Source organism: Homo sapiens, chromosome 20, assembly GCF_000001405.40.
Source record: "Homo sapiens chromosome 20, GRCh38.p14 Primary Assembly".
NCBI lineage: Eukaryota > Metazoa > Chordata > Mammalia > Primates > Hominidae > Homo > Homo sapiens.
This window is the reverse complement of record NC_000020.11, coordinates 61840570-61853544: the sequence shown is the minus strand read 5'-3', so window position 1 is coordinate 61853544 and position 12975 is coordinate 61840570. Positions and strand designations below refer to the sequence as shown.

The following is a 12975-nucleotide window of genomic DNA, read 5'->3' as shown; positions in this document are numbered from 1 at the left end:
GCCCCACACATGAAAAAGCAGGCGCCACCACCGGTGCCAGAGTGAAGTCTCGGGGGACAGGCTCTTGGGTCAGCTCTGAGGGGAGCAGACAGCCTCAGTCACATGGGATCGCCTCTGTGGGGGGAGTCCGGGCCTCTCTCGCTTCCCGTTTTGCTTGGAACCAAATCTTACGTTTAGCTGGGAGGCCTCCAGTGGCCTCAGCCCTCTGACTTCGTTGCCTCCCCAGGCCCTGGCATGGGCACCTTGCTCCCCTAGCCTCTCCGCCTGCCCGGGAGCCCACCCCAGTCCCACTCCGGGAGCTGCTCCACCTCAGGCTTCAGCTCCCAGCCCACACGCCAGCTGCACAGAGGGGCCTGCCCAGGCCCACCGCTGTCCCCAGGACTCCCAGTGCCCGGGTTTTCTTCCCAGCCCGTTGGCCCTGCTGTGGCTGCAATCGCTTCTCACCTGTGGTCTGCAACCCCCTTGACCCCAAGGCCTGTGAGAGCAGGGGCTTTGGTGGACGTCTGCTGCATGCTGTGTGTCTGCGCCCAAGTCCCGTGGCACCATCCTGGTAGCGGGGACTAAGCAGCCCTCCCCTGCCCTCAGGGCCTGTGCTGCACCCGCAGAGCCCACAGGGTCTCCAGCAAGCAAACGCTAAAGGCCTCACCTGGCTTGGAGCCCTCGTCCACGGAGCCGTTGTAGACCTGGTTGATGAACTCAGGGCGGTTGTCATTCATGTCGATGACGTAGATGTACAGGTCGATGGGGTTCTCCACCTTGTTGCCATTCATGTCCACAGCGTGGGCTCGGAGCTGGAAAAGCAGCAGAGACAGGGCCCAGTGGCGGGTGGGCACCCCCACTCAGCTGAGAGCGGCCTGGGACCCGCGGTGCTGGGGTAGGAGACTGATGGCAGAAGCAGGTTGGCTATAGGGGCCGGGGGGCTTTGGACACGTCATGGAATTCTCTGAGCCTCAGCTCTCTCCTCTGCAGAAACGGGGGTCAGGAGAGTGCAGAGTGGGGCGACGCACAGAGCTGGAAGCCAGCATAACCCCCCAACACCCCATGGTCAGGCCCAGGCCCACCCAGGACCTCCCATGCCTGCCCGACTGTTCCGTGAGCCACCGACTGTTCTGATCAGATGTCTGGAGCAGGACAGGTGCCCCTTGGATGGGGTGATGTCCACCCAAAGTGGCAACAGAAAAGACATTTGTGCCTAATTGGGCGGGGGCTTAACTCCTGCCACTGTAAGGTTAGTCCCCAGGGGAGATGGGGAGGAGACAGGTCGGGGTGTGCAAGGGCCAGAGCTGGGCTGGGAATTGGGCCCATTTGGGCGTCCACTGAGAGTCCAGCCTGGACAAGTTCCAGGCTCCTCTGCGTCTGTGTGCCCTGTCAGCTCTTGGGCACAGCAGGGGAATATGGGTGGTGGGGTGGGGGGATCCGTGGAGAGGCAGGGCCGGGAGGCCTGTGTGGAGCTCCTGGGAACGTCACAGGAACCATCTTCGAGGTGAAAAGGGAAGAGCTGAATCTGGGCTGGAAGGTTCCGCAGGAGCTTCTCAGAGTCACCCCTTAAGTTCTGGATTTGTTCTTTCACTCATTCATTTGTTCTGCAGATGCCCATCAAGGGCCTGCAATGGCAGGTGCTGGGCTGGACCCTAGATTACTGTGCACTGAAGGCAGTGTGGCTGCCCTGGAGCTTCCATCCAAGGGACAATGGACACCGGGAAGAGAAGAAGCCATCAGTGGGTGTGGTGGCCGCCAGGGAGGCCTCTCGGAGGAGGGGCTGCTTGAGCTGAGACCTCAAGAACAGGCCAAGGCAGAGGACACAGAGAGGCTGGGCGCTGCCGGCAGGCGAGGGGGCTGCTGAGGGGCTGTCGGGGAGTGGAAAGGGCACATCCGAGGCCTCTCCACCCAGAGCTGGATGGTCAGCCAGAGGTGTCCTCAGCTCACATCTTTCTGCCAAAACTCCACATCACCCTCGAAGTTGGACACAACAGACCTCACTCAAGGTATTTGCAGCAAAACATCACCCAGCCCAGGGTGGCCGTGAGAGAAGCCCCATGCCAGACGGGTCTCCACATCATCCCCTTGGTGGCCTGCCTCACATGGCCGCTGCCACTCCCCCGAACTCAGGGGATCAGGGGGGCCCTGAATTCCACGCCTGCCCCAGGGAAACCCAGGAGCTAACTGTGTCCATGCCTATACCAGTGTTTTGGTTTGGCTCCAACCATCCAGAGTGGAATTTTACCCCCTACATTGTGTGTTTACGGAAGATCTAGAGGCTGGCTTTACCCAAAGAGGCAATCTGTGCTGTAGTAAGGAGACAAGCTAGCACTGACTCCTGGAGGAACTGCAGACTGCCACGCGAGATGTGGCTGCACGCACGCCAGGTCAGCTTTACATATCATGTTTAAACAGCCTGAAGTGCTGTGGGGTTGCTGGAACCGGCTGTCCCCGCCCCGTCGCGGGCAGACTCCCCCATCCCCGACCCATCTGCAGCTCCGTCCTGCTATGGATGTGTTTCCCACACGCCCAGAGGTCACAGGGCCTCGGGGGAAAAGTAATTCTGAGCTAAAATTAAAGTTATTATCTCCTAACTAAAGCAGTTTCAGGCGCTATCTGTAGCAGCGGGAGCAGCGCGAGTGCGGATAACGAGGAAATACCGCCTCTGCCCGTGGCCTGTGTCCTCCTTGTCCCACTCCCTGCCTCACCCCCAAAAGATTCAAATACATTTGACAGCTCCTGTAGAAATCTCCCCTGCCCATCTCTCAGGCTGGGCACACCCAGGGTGGGCCTGAGAGAGGTGACCTCACCATGACGGTGGAGGAAACACGCAAACATGGGTGGAGGAGTCCTCCGAGCGTTCTGCAACCTGCAAATCGGAGCGTCAGGCGCAGAGTGCATTTCCTGCAACATCTTGAATAGGACATTTTTCTATCCTCGTTCCGGGAGACAAGATTAGGAAATATTAATACATGGGCGTGGTCTGGCATTGGGGCGGGAAGGCGCTCGGGGGAAATGTGTCTGTTGACAGATGACTGTCCAGATGTGTGTGGGATCTAATGCTCCCGCCTCTTGGCTGCTCTCTTTTCCTCCTATCTTAATTGTGGGTGTGGGTTCCCTCCAAGGCGTATGGAACTGGGAACAGTCCATGAGGGTCTTGGAAGTGGCCGAGGGGTAAAGGTGTTGGAGACTTTCTTCATCAGTGACATCGGCAGCCAACACGCACCGTGCGTTTGCTCAGGGCCAGGCAGTGCTATAAGAACCCTACACACGTTAACTCCAATTTTCATCAGAATCTGTGAGATTGGCATTGTCTTGGTCCCTATTTTACAGATGAGGAAACTGAGGCTCAGAAAGGTTAGAAAACTTTCGGAAGATGACAGCGTGTGGCTGGGTGAGCTAATGTGTCTAACTTACGGAATCCTTCAAGGAATCTTCTGGAGCATCACCCTGCAAAGCCAGCAGTGAGCACTTGTGCGTGTTGTGCGTTTGAATGTTTACAGGCTGGCTTTAGGGTGACACGTGTCACAGTCGTCAGCGTACTCAGGCTGGGGATGCGTCCTCGCCACCCTCAGCCCACAGAGCTGGGTGGAAAATGGAACAGGATCTAAAGACACTGGGGAGGTAGGAAAAACTCTAAGATGGCCCCAAGGATGTCAGGTGCTGGTCCCAGATGTGAAGACAGATGTGTTCCCTCCCCACTGGGCTACGTTTTTGACCTTAAGACAGGGCTGGGTGGACGCCATCCAACCACATGGGCCTTCGAAAGCTGAACGTTCTCCAGCTGGAGGCAGGAGAGAAGGGCATGCGGGCATCCTATGCACCTTGCTGGGTGACAGTGGAGGAGACACGTGCCGAGGCATGCAGGTGCCCTTCAGGGGGTGGCTGTGGCCCCCCGAATAGCCAGCAAGGACATGGAGACCTCAGTCCTGCAACCACAAGGATCCAGACCTGCCACAGCCCCAGTGAGCCTAGAGGCAGGTCCTCCCTAGGGCCGGGGGAGCACCCAGGCCGGTGAGCCTAGAGGCAGATCCTCCCTAGGGCCGGGGGAGCACCCAGGCTGGCCGGCACTTTGATTTTGGCCTGGTGAGACCCGGAGCAGAAACACAAGCCAAGCCCATCTGGACTTCTGACCTACAGCACGGTGAACTCATAGGGCGTTGTTTCAGCCACTAAGTTTGTGCTGATTCGTTACACAGTGCAGAGAACTAACACACCCCTGCTGGCTGGCACAGCTGCCCCCAAAGACCCTGGTGGGCATCCTACAAGGTGGAAATCCGGAGTTGGGGTCACACTGGAGTCTGATGAGGAGTGTGATGCTTGCAGGGAGGGGCTTCCTTCTCCAGGGAAGGGCAGGAAAGCCAGGCATCCCCAAGGCCTCCATCTCGGTGGGACAGAGAGATTAGCTACAAGTGGAACTTGAGGGCTTCATTCCAGAATTTGGCAGACGATGCAGCTTCTTCTCCCTTCTGGGCCCTGCATCTCCTGCTGACTCTGCAGTCCCTGAAGGGGTGAGAAGGCTGGAGTCCAGCCAGATCTCAGGGCTCACCATTCCTCACTGTGAAAATGGGAAATGAGGATGATAAAACTAATGATCTCCACGAGCTTGCTCCTAGAACCTGGTGTGCAGGAGGCAGCAAGAGATGCTGGCGATGTGGGATGACTGCATTTCTCATCTTCAAAGCAGGGAGAAAACCATGAAGCCTCAGGGCTGGGGCAGGAAATAGACAGGAACGTGGGCTCGGTGCAGTGGTTTACACCTGTAATCCCAGCACTTTGGGAGGCTGACGCAGGCAGATGGCTTGAGCTCAGGAGTTTGAGACCAGCCTGGCCAACATGGTAAAACCCTGTCTCTATTAAAAATTCAGAAAAATTAGCTGGGCGTGGTGGCGGGTGCCTGTAGTTCCAGCTACCTGGGAGGCTGAGGCAGGAGAATCGCTTGAACCTGTGAGGCGGAGGTTGCAGTGAGCCGAGATAGTACCACTGCACTCCAGCCTGGCTGACGAAGTCAGACTCTGTCTCAAAAAATACAATACAATACAATACAATAAAAAAAGTCCTAGGTACTTGGGAGGCTGAGGTGGGAGGATTGCTTGAGCCTGGGAGGTTGAGGCTACAGTAAGCTGAGATTGCACCACTGCATTCCAGCCTGAGTGACAGAGCGAGACCCTGTCTCAAAAAACAAAAGAAAAACAAAAGAAGGGAAGGCAACGTGTGTGCAAAAGTGTCTGCGCACTGGCAAGCCACGTGGGTGGCTGGGGCAGGTGGGCCTGACCTTTCACCAGCAGCCCCACCCCCACCGCCCTGGGCTCCCTCATCTTCTTTCATGGCCAGCTCAGGTGGGGAGTGTGGGAGGCCTGAGTGCATCCGTGGTGAGGGCTGGGGCCTGCAGGTGTGGGACCCAGGTCCCTGGTCCCCACCAGCCTGTGATCCCCATCTTTCTGGGGGTTTGCTGCAGGACCATCTACAGAGGCACTGCACCTTTCCTGGGTAGAGCCTGGTGCTGAGCAAAGCTCTGCATATGCATTAGGCAGAAAGAATAAACAGACGAATGGAGGTGTGTGGCGTGGTTTGGATGTTCCGTCCCTTCTAGATCTCATTTGAAATGTGCCCTCCAGTGTTGGAGGTGGGCCTGGTGGGAGGTGTTTGGATCATGGGGGTGGATCACTTGTCAATGGCTCAGTGCTGCCCTTGTGGTAACACGTGAATTCTTGCTCTGAGTGCACTCCAGGGCCTGTTGTTTAAAGAGCTTGGCACCTCCGTCCCTCTCTCTCTCTCTCTCACTCCTGCCACGTGGGACGTCTGCTCCCCTTCACTTTCTCCCATGAGTGGAAGCTTCCTGAGGCCTCCCCAGAAGGAGATGCCGGCGCTATACTTCCTGTACAGCCTGCAGAACCGTGAGCCAAATAAACCTCTTTTCTCTCTATATTACGCAGCCTCAGGTATTTCTTTATAGCAATATGAAAGGGCTAACACAGCGTGTTTGCACATGTTTACACAGCGTGTTTACACCGCATGTTTACACGGCATGTTTGCACGGCATGGCAGGAGGTGGTGGGGGCGCTGGATTCCTCCCCAGTGCCAGCCACTGTCTCTGCACATGGTGGGTTGAAAATTTCTACCTGTGCATGAGAGGAGGGCCTTGGGAATGAATCATAGAGGGGTGGGTGACCCAGATCCCTGGAGTGGCCATTCCAACCTCTAGCCCTGCACAGCCGGACCCCTGCTGTGGGCAGAACTCCCAGGCTGGGTTGCAGGCTGTGCCTTAGGCTTCAAGGTGCATGAAGGGGGCACTGTCCAGTGGTGGCCCTGGAGGTCCCCGTCCCCTAGCCGTGCTGTGTGCAGAGGTAGCTGAGCCCTGAAACCTTTTCCGGGGAGTTGGTGGGAATGCGAAGGCTGCCTCTGGTGAGAATCCATGGAGGAGAAACAGCTCATTGGGGATGATGCAGGGAGGGCCAGCTCTGAGCTCCAGGTTTCCAGGAGGAATTATAAGATGAAATGGAAGGAAGAGGCCTTCTGCTGGTGCAGGTCACCTGGGAATCACTGTGCATTCAGCAAGTGCTGGGTCCTGAGTCCTCCTGCAACAGGCACCCGGCAGCCCTACAGCACTTCTGGTGCCCCTCAGATGCCCCGGCCAGCACCCACAGGCTGCATCTGCGATGCCACACCAGGGAGAAGTGGGCTGACCCAGCTCTCCTGGTGCCCCTTGGATGCCCCAGCGAGCACCCACAGGCTGCATGTGCAATGCCACACCAGGAAGAAGTGGGCTGACCCCGCTCCAAGTCTGCCTTGGTTAAAAAAACAACAGACAGAAACACGTGTCAGGAATTCACAGAGTTGAAGGGTTGGCTCCCCCTGCCCCACATCTAGATGTGGCAAGACTTGTATCAAGTCTCTGTCTCTGAATCTGTTTCTCACGGTCAGTCTCTCTCTTTATTTCTGTCTCTATGCCTCTGTCTCTGTATTACCTGTGTCTCTCTTCTCTGTCTCCTATGTCTCTCTCTGTGTCTCTGTCTCCCTCTCTGTCTCTGTATCTCTATCTCTGTGTGTGTGTGTGTGTCTGTGTCTCTCCCTAAGTCCTTGGTCCGTAGCTATTTCTTGGCAGTAAGGGCTGTTGAGTTCCGGTTCCTGAGCCTGTTGTAGACGCGTGTTGACGGCAGCCCAAAGCCCGTTTTGGGAGCCAGCAGCCATGCTGAGGGCCTGTCTCTTGCTGCATAGCCAGGGGGCGTCAGCCGGAGTCTCTGGTTGGTTCTGTGGTTCTGCCTCGGCCACTCCTGGGGGGCCCAGCACACGAAGCCCAGGCACTGTCAATCAGGTCTCCCCAACACCCAGCCAAGGCGTGAGCCTTCCCAGGAGGCAGCCGTGAGGGACTGATAAGGCCCCGGTGCAGACCGGGGTTAGGGCAGCCACCTCCCAAGTGGGCTCCCCAGGATCCATCCAGCTCCGACCCTGCTTCAGACGGTGCCTCAGGGGCTGTCAGGGAGGCCACTGTGGCCAACAGCAAAACCGATCTTCTCCCGTCAACGCCCTCCCTTCCTTGAATGCTTAGTGAGCCCCCTGAAGGCCAGGCTCTGTACTTGGGCCTGAGATCTGGCGTGGAAAAGCCGGAGGGTTCCCTGCCCCTATGCAGCCTCCTTCTGGTGCGAGATGGAATGAATGAACCCCAAAACAAATAGTCACAGACGTGAGAAGCTGCAGGGTCGGGCCCTGTTCGGTGCCACTGACTGAAGCCAAGCGAAGGTGGAACCGAGCAAGGTGACACTGTCAGGTGGGGCCAAGTCTTCCATGGTTGTTCCCGAGTTACCACGGAGAAGCACACGGCCCTGACAGCACGGGCTTGTGCTGAACGCCTCACCAGGGTTAACCCTGGAGTCCTCAGAACAACCCCATGAGGAGGAGCAGGGACTGAGGCCAGGAGAGGCGACAGCATCTGCCCAATAGCTCACATCTGGCCAGGGGCAGGTCGGGGTGTGACCCTCGTGATTTGGCTCCAGCCTGTTCTGCGCTGCTGGCGAGGCCTTCACCTACACGTGATGGACAGCTCTGGACCCTGAGGTGAAGGGATGTGCACTCCCCACTGCTTTCACCATGGCCCAGGCCCCCTCCTCTCGGCCAGGGTCAGTTCGGCCCGGGAGGAGAAGGCCCGCCCCCTGGAAGCTGAGGCCGCAGCCCCACGTCTCTCTAGCATTTCTTTCCGTGCACAGCCCCTGACAGGGAATCAGCGCGGCTCTCCTTTCAGAGGCTCTTTCTGCCGCGAGAGACGTCGGAGGAAATGAAAAGCTTGCAGGACTATTGTCCCAGCCTAGAGAGGGTGTGAGGGACAATGGGCTGTGCTTCGGAGAAAGGGGCCAAGAGCAGCATGAGGGGCCCCGAGGGAGCATCGCAGCTGGTGACCCTGACTCCCAGCCCCGCAGAGCCATCCAAAGCAGAAGACCACGTGGATGGAGGCCTTCTGGACCAGTAGTTCTCCCAGTGTGGGCCCAGGCCTGACTTGCGTCCTGGGGAGTGTGTGAAATGCAGTTTCCCAGGCCCACCCTGGGCCCACCCTGCTGAATTAGACGGGGGACAGTGCCCAGCGACCTGGGCTTTCCCCAGCTTCCCAGGATTCTGCTCCAGGCCAAAGTTGGAGTGCTGCCTGTAGAGTTAGGGCAGGCATGGCCCTGCTGGGGGCACCTGCCAAGGCCTGGTAGGGCTGGGATCGCCACCCCAGGGCCCCATTCTCAGCCGGGTGTGGACACTCACGTGGTAAGAGGCGTGCTCCTCCCGGTCCATGGGCCTTGTGACGTACATCCGGCCGGACATGGAGTCAATGCTGAAGACCTCCATGGGGGGCTGGTCGGCGCCCACTCCCGTGATGCTGTACCGGATGGGGATGTCATTGTCTTTGTCGGACCGGATCTGAAAGGCAGGAGCAAAGCGAGAAGAGGTTATCCTGTGGTGAGGAGAGGCCCGGGGCCGATCTCTGACATTCATCCCCTCTCATGAGTTCCTCGAGCTCGACCATTTTCAGGTACAATGGGGACCACAGCTGATCTTTCATCCACTTTGGGAAGTGGAAGGACAGTCGGTGGTCAGGGTTTCACTGAGAGCCGCCGACTGCAGGTCTAGGGCCTGTCAGTAACTCAGCAAATACACCGAGAACTCGGGATGCCTGGCAGACATCCACAGCACAGATGAAAACAATGGAAATGATGGTATAAAATGGCCTCGTGTTCTGACATCAAACCCAGGACTAGACAAAGGCAAGAAAACAGAGCAACCTCCACAGTGAGAGAAAAGACTAGGACCCAATGCATGTGTGTCCCAGCCTTTCTAATTGTTTAGAAAACAATTGAATGATGGTTATCCGGGTCCCAAGTCCAAAGTAAGCTAGAAAAGGCTGCTAACTGGGGGAGGAAATGGAAAGACACAGGCAGACACGAAACTCTGAGTTTTACTTGGGATGGGGAAGGGTTAGGCAAAGGCTTCATTTGGTTTTTGAGCAAAGATTGAGATTCATACAAGATTTTGGGAAACAGAAAGGACACTGGTAGCATTAAAAACAAGATGCACGTCTTTCACTCAGTTGAGGCGAAACCTCCTGTAATGAGGAGGGGGACTTGGTGGTCACCAGCCCACCACAGGTGAGTGGCGCTTCCCAGAGCCTGGGGGTTCCCTCAGGGAAGTTGGGGGAGGCCACGGAGATTTGAAAGGTGAAACTGAGAAGGTGGAATGAATGGATTTGCATTCAACTTTGAGCATGTCTTTAGCATATACTACTTTTTTTCTCAAAGCCCACAGGACCATCACAACATTTCATAATACAGTGGGCCATAGCGGAAACCCCAAAAATACCCCCAAAACAAAATGGAACAGGAATTTTTTTTTTTTTTTTTTTTAGAGACAGGTCTCATTCTGTCACCTGGAGTGCAGTAGGGCAATCATATCTCACTGCAGCCTTGACCTCCTGTGCTCAAGCAATCCTTCTACCTCAGCCCCGGAGTAGCTGGGACTACAGGTGCTGGCAACCACGCCTGGCTAATTTCTGAAATTCTTTTGTGCAGAAAAGGTCTCACTATGTTTCCCAGGCTGGTCTCGAACTTCTGGCTTTTTTTTTTTTTTTTTTTTTTGAGACGGAGTCTCGCTCTGTCGCCCAGGCCGGACTGCGGACTGCAGTGGTGCAATCTCGGCTCACTGCAAGCTCCGCTTCCTGGGTTCACGCCATTCTCCTGCCTCAGCCTCCTGAGTAGCTGGGACTACAGGCGCCCGCCACCGCGCCCGGCTAATTTTTTGTATTTTTAGTAGAGACGGGGTTTCACCTTGTTAGCCAGGATGGTCTCGATCTCCTGACCTCATGATTCACCCGCCTCGGCCTCCCAAAGTGCTGGGATTACAGGCGTGAGCCACCGCGCCTGGCCGAACTTCTGGCTTTAAGCGATCCTCCCACCTTGGCCTCCCAAAGCACTGGGATTACAGGTGTGAACTACCGCATTCGGCCTTACTAGGACCTTTTACTGAAATGATACAATTAAAAGTTAATAACAAAACTGAAAAAAGACCTTTTAGAAATCTGAATGACACTGCGAAATAACCATTGGGTCAACAGGAACCAAAGTTATTTTTAGAGGCTTTTAAAAATATTTCTTTTGTTTAATAATAATATAACAACGCGACTGTTATACAGTGAAGCCCAGAGGTAGAGTGCCTGCAAACCCATAACCTTGAATGTTTTCATAATCAAAATGGAATTACAGCCAACAAACCAAACGCTCAATCCCACAAGGAAAGGAACAAGAAAGCAGGAAGCAGCAGACACCAAAGTCATCAATAAAGATGACACAGAAACTTCCAAATCTGAAAGCAGAAAAATAGGGGTAACAGATTCCAGAGCTGTAGTTAGGGGAAAAGTCCTCAGGAAACTAGCTGTGTCTTTGATAAACTTGAGAAAAAAATAAGATTTGTTTTAAAGCGTTTTCTTCTCTATATGTTATGCAAGCATAGGTGAAAATTGTATGAAATTGATTATTTTTTGAGAAAATATACAATTTAAAACTTGACTAGCAGAGAACACACACCTGGAGATACCGTATGACTTCAGGAAATTCCTTCTAAAAGATCTGAGGACAGGTCAGCTCGCTCTGGAATTTCCTGAAACTTTTCCAGAGCAAAGAACGAGACAGAAAAAGCAGCCCACTCGGTTTTTATGAAGCTTGCAGACCTTGAAATGCAGGAGCATTCTGAATTCTGATGACACACAGTATGACCACTGCAACTGCCCCACGTGTGGCATAGGTGTGACACCCAGCAGAGATGCCAGCCAGCAGAAGCAGCAGTGACTTCCAAGCCTCCTTCATCGCGCCTGAATAGCACTTACCTCAGAGACAGAGGGCTGGCTTCTCGCCAGGCACCTCATCTCTGCAGCACGATGACAATCATAGGCTAGCCTTCAGAGAGACTCAAAGCACGTTTGATAGAGTATCCCTTCCAGCTTAATTCGTATCAAAGAAAGCAAGTCATCCCCTGGAAAAACTCCAATTCATAGAGAATTCAGCCTGATGGAGAACATCTTTCTTAAGCCAGCATTTCGCATTTGCACACCAGAGCTGTTCCTACGTGCAGGAGTGAGGTGCCCCGCACACCGGCCACCCCAAGGCTGTCTCATGTCGTAATAGAAAAAAGCTGTTTTCCGTATAGGAAGAGGGAGATGCTGTTTCCATCATAAAGGCGCCATGGGGGTCAGTGCCAATAGGGGGCTGCTCACGTGCTAGGAGACATCGCCAGGAGAGGAGGCCTGCAGGCCCACGGTGCGCGCACGCGCGCACACACACACACTCCTGTGCACATGTGCACACACTCACAGTCTGTGAGGAGCGTCTTTGTTCCCCCCCGCAATGCACCTCCTTACTTTCCCATGATCAGGTAGGTTCCTTTCCCAGCTCTGCCCTGAGCCGCACACACCAAGCAGAACTTCAGAGACAGCGACCTAGGGAAGGGCGGGTCTGGGCCCCTCAGCGGTCCATGGGAAAAGCCTCCAACGGAGCCTTAATCACCCCTCCCTCTACTGCCCAAGGCCACCAGCAACGTTATTCCTGCAGGCCTTCCATGGGCAAGGCCCATCTCTTCTCCACCCATGGAGAGTTTTCACCAAGTTTGGTCACGAGGGGGTATGGGGCAACGTCTAGATAGAGGGGAGGAGCCCCTCTCCCTGTCACCTCTGATGACTTGTTCCTCGGGGGTGGGAGAAAAGCTAAGAGATCACATTCGCAGGAGAGCAGGCAGCTGAGGTGGAGTACAGAGCCCACCAGCCCCGCCGTCCGGGAGCGCTGCGCTTCTCCGAGGCCTGATGAGTATGGACGCTGCTTTGGCTTTGGGTTAGGAGAAGGGCACTGGGAGCACGCAGTAGGTGCTCGAGTGGCTGAGTGGCACTGGGCTGAGGAGAACACACAGAGCCAGGTCCAGTCTTCTGGAGGCAGGAGGTGGGCGCCAGGGACGGGGTCTGCAGCAGCCGGAAGGATGGGTTGTAGATTCACTGTGCGCTATTGCTAGTTTTGGGCGAATCAATCCCTCTTTCATAGGGAAATTTAATGAGGAGACTGCTGAAAATAATCCACCACCTATTTAAAGAGAATTTGTTTTTCAAGGAAAGCTCATTACGTTTTGGCCATCAGGCCGCATTTGCTTATTCTCCAGGCCCGTTTGGCCGCCTCTGAAATATGGCGGGCAGCGGGTGGCTGCGGGTGATGTGCATCCACGGGCTCTGAGCATCAGCTCTCAAAATGCTCTGAATTCTCCCACAGTTTACCATATTAAGAAGAAATACTGTGCGAGTGAATCCACCAGATCAGGGGAGAACAGTTTTCCACTTGATTTGTGTCTGGCAAATGAGACAAACACCGCAGAAGCCCACGATGGGCCGTGAATAGGGAGCACAGACAGGCGCCTCCAGTGCGCCGATCGCCTTAGGATGCCGTGGAGACCCACGCTCTTCCGCATTTGTTATTAGAGGACAGAACAGAT

General features: G+C 55.3%; 1 protein-coding gene across 5 annotated transcripts in view; it reads right to left on the bottom strand.

Moving 5' to 3' along the window:
- CDH4 (cadherin 4) overlaps nt 1–12975 on the bottom strand; it is a 688357-nt gene that overhangs the window by 87073 nt on the left and 588309 nt on the right. For all 5 annotated transcript variants that reach the window (NM_001794.5, XM_047439812.1, XM_047439813.1 and 2 more), the window contains 2 exons: nt 8722–8877; nt 647–791 (listed from right to left, as the gene is read on the bottom strand). In NM_001794.5, the coding sequence (NP_001785.2) occupies nt 647–791; nt 8722–8877 (301 nt within the window). The remainder of the gene's footprint in view (nt 1–646; nt 792–8721; nt 8878–12975) is intronic.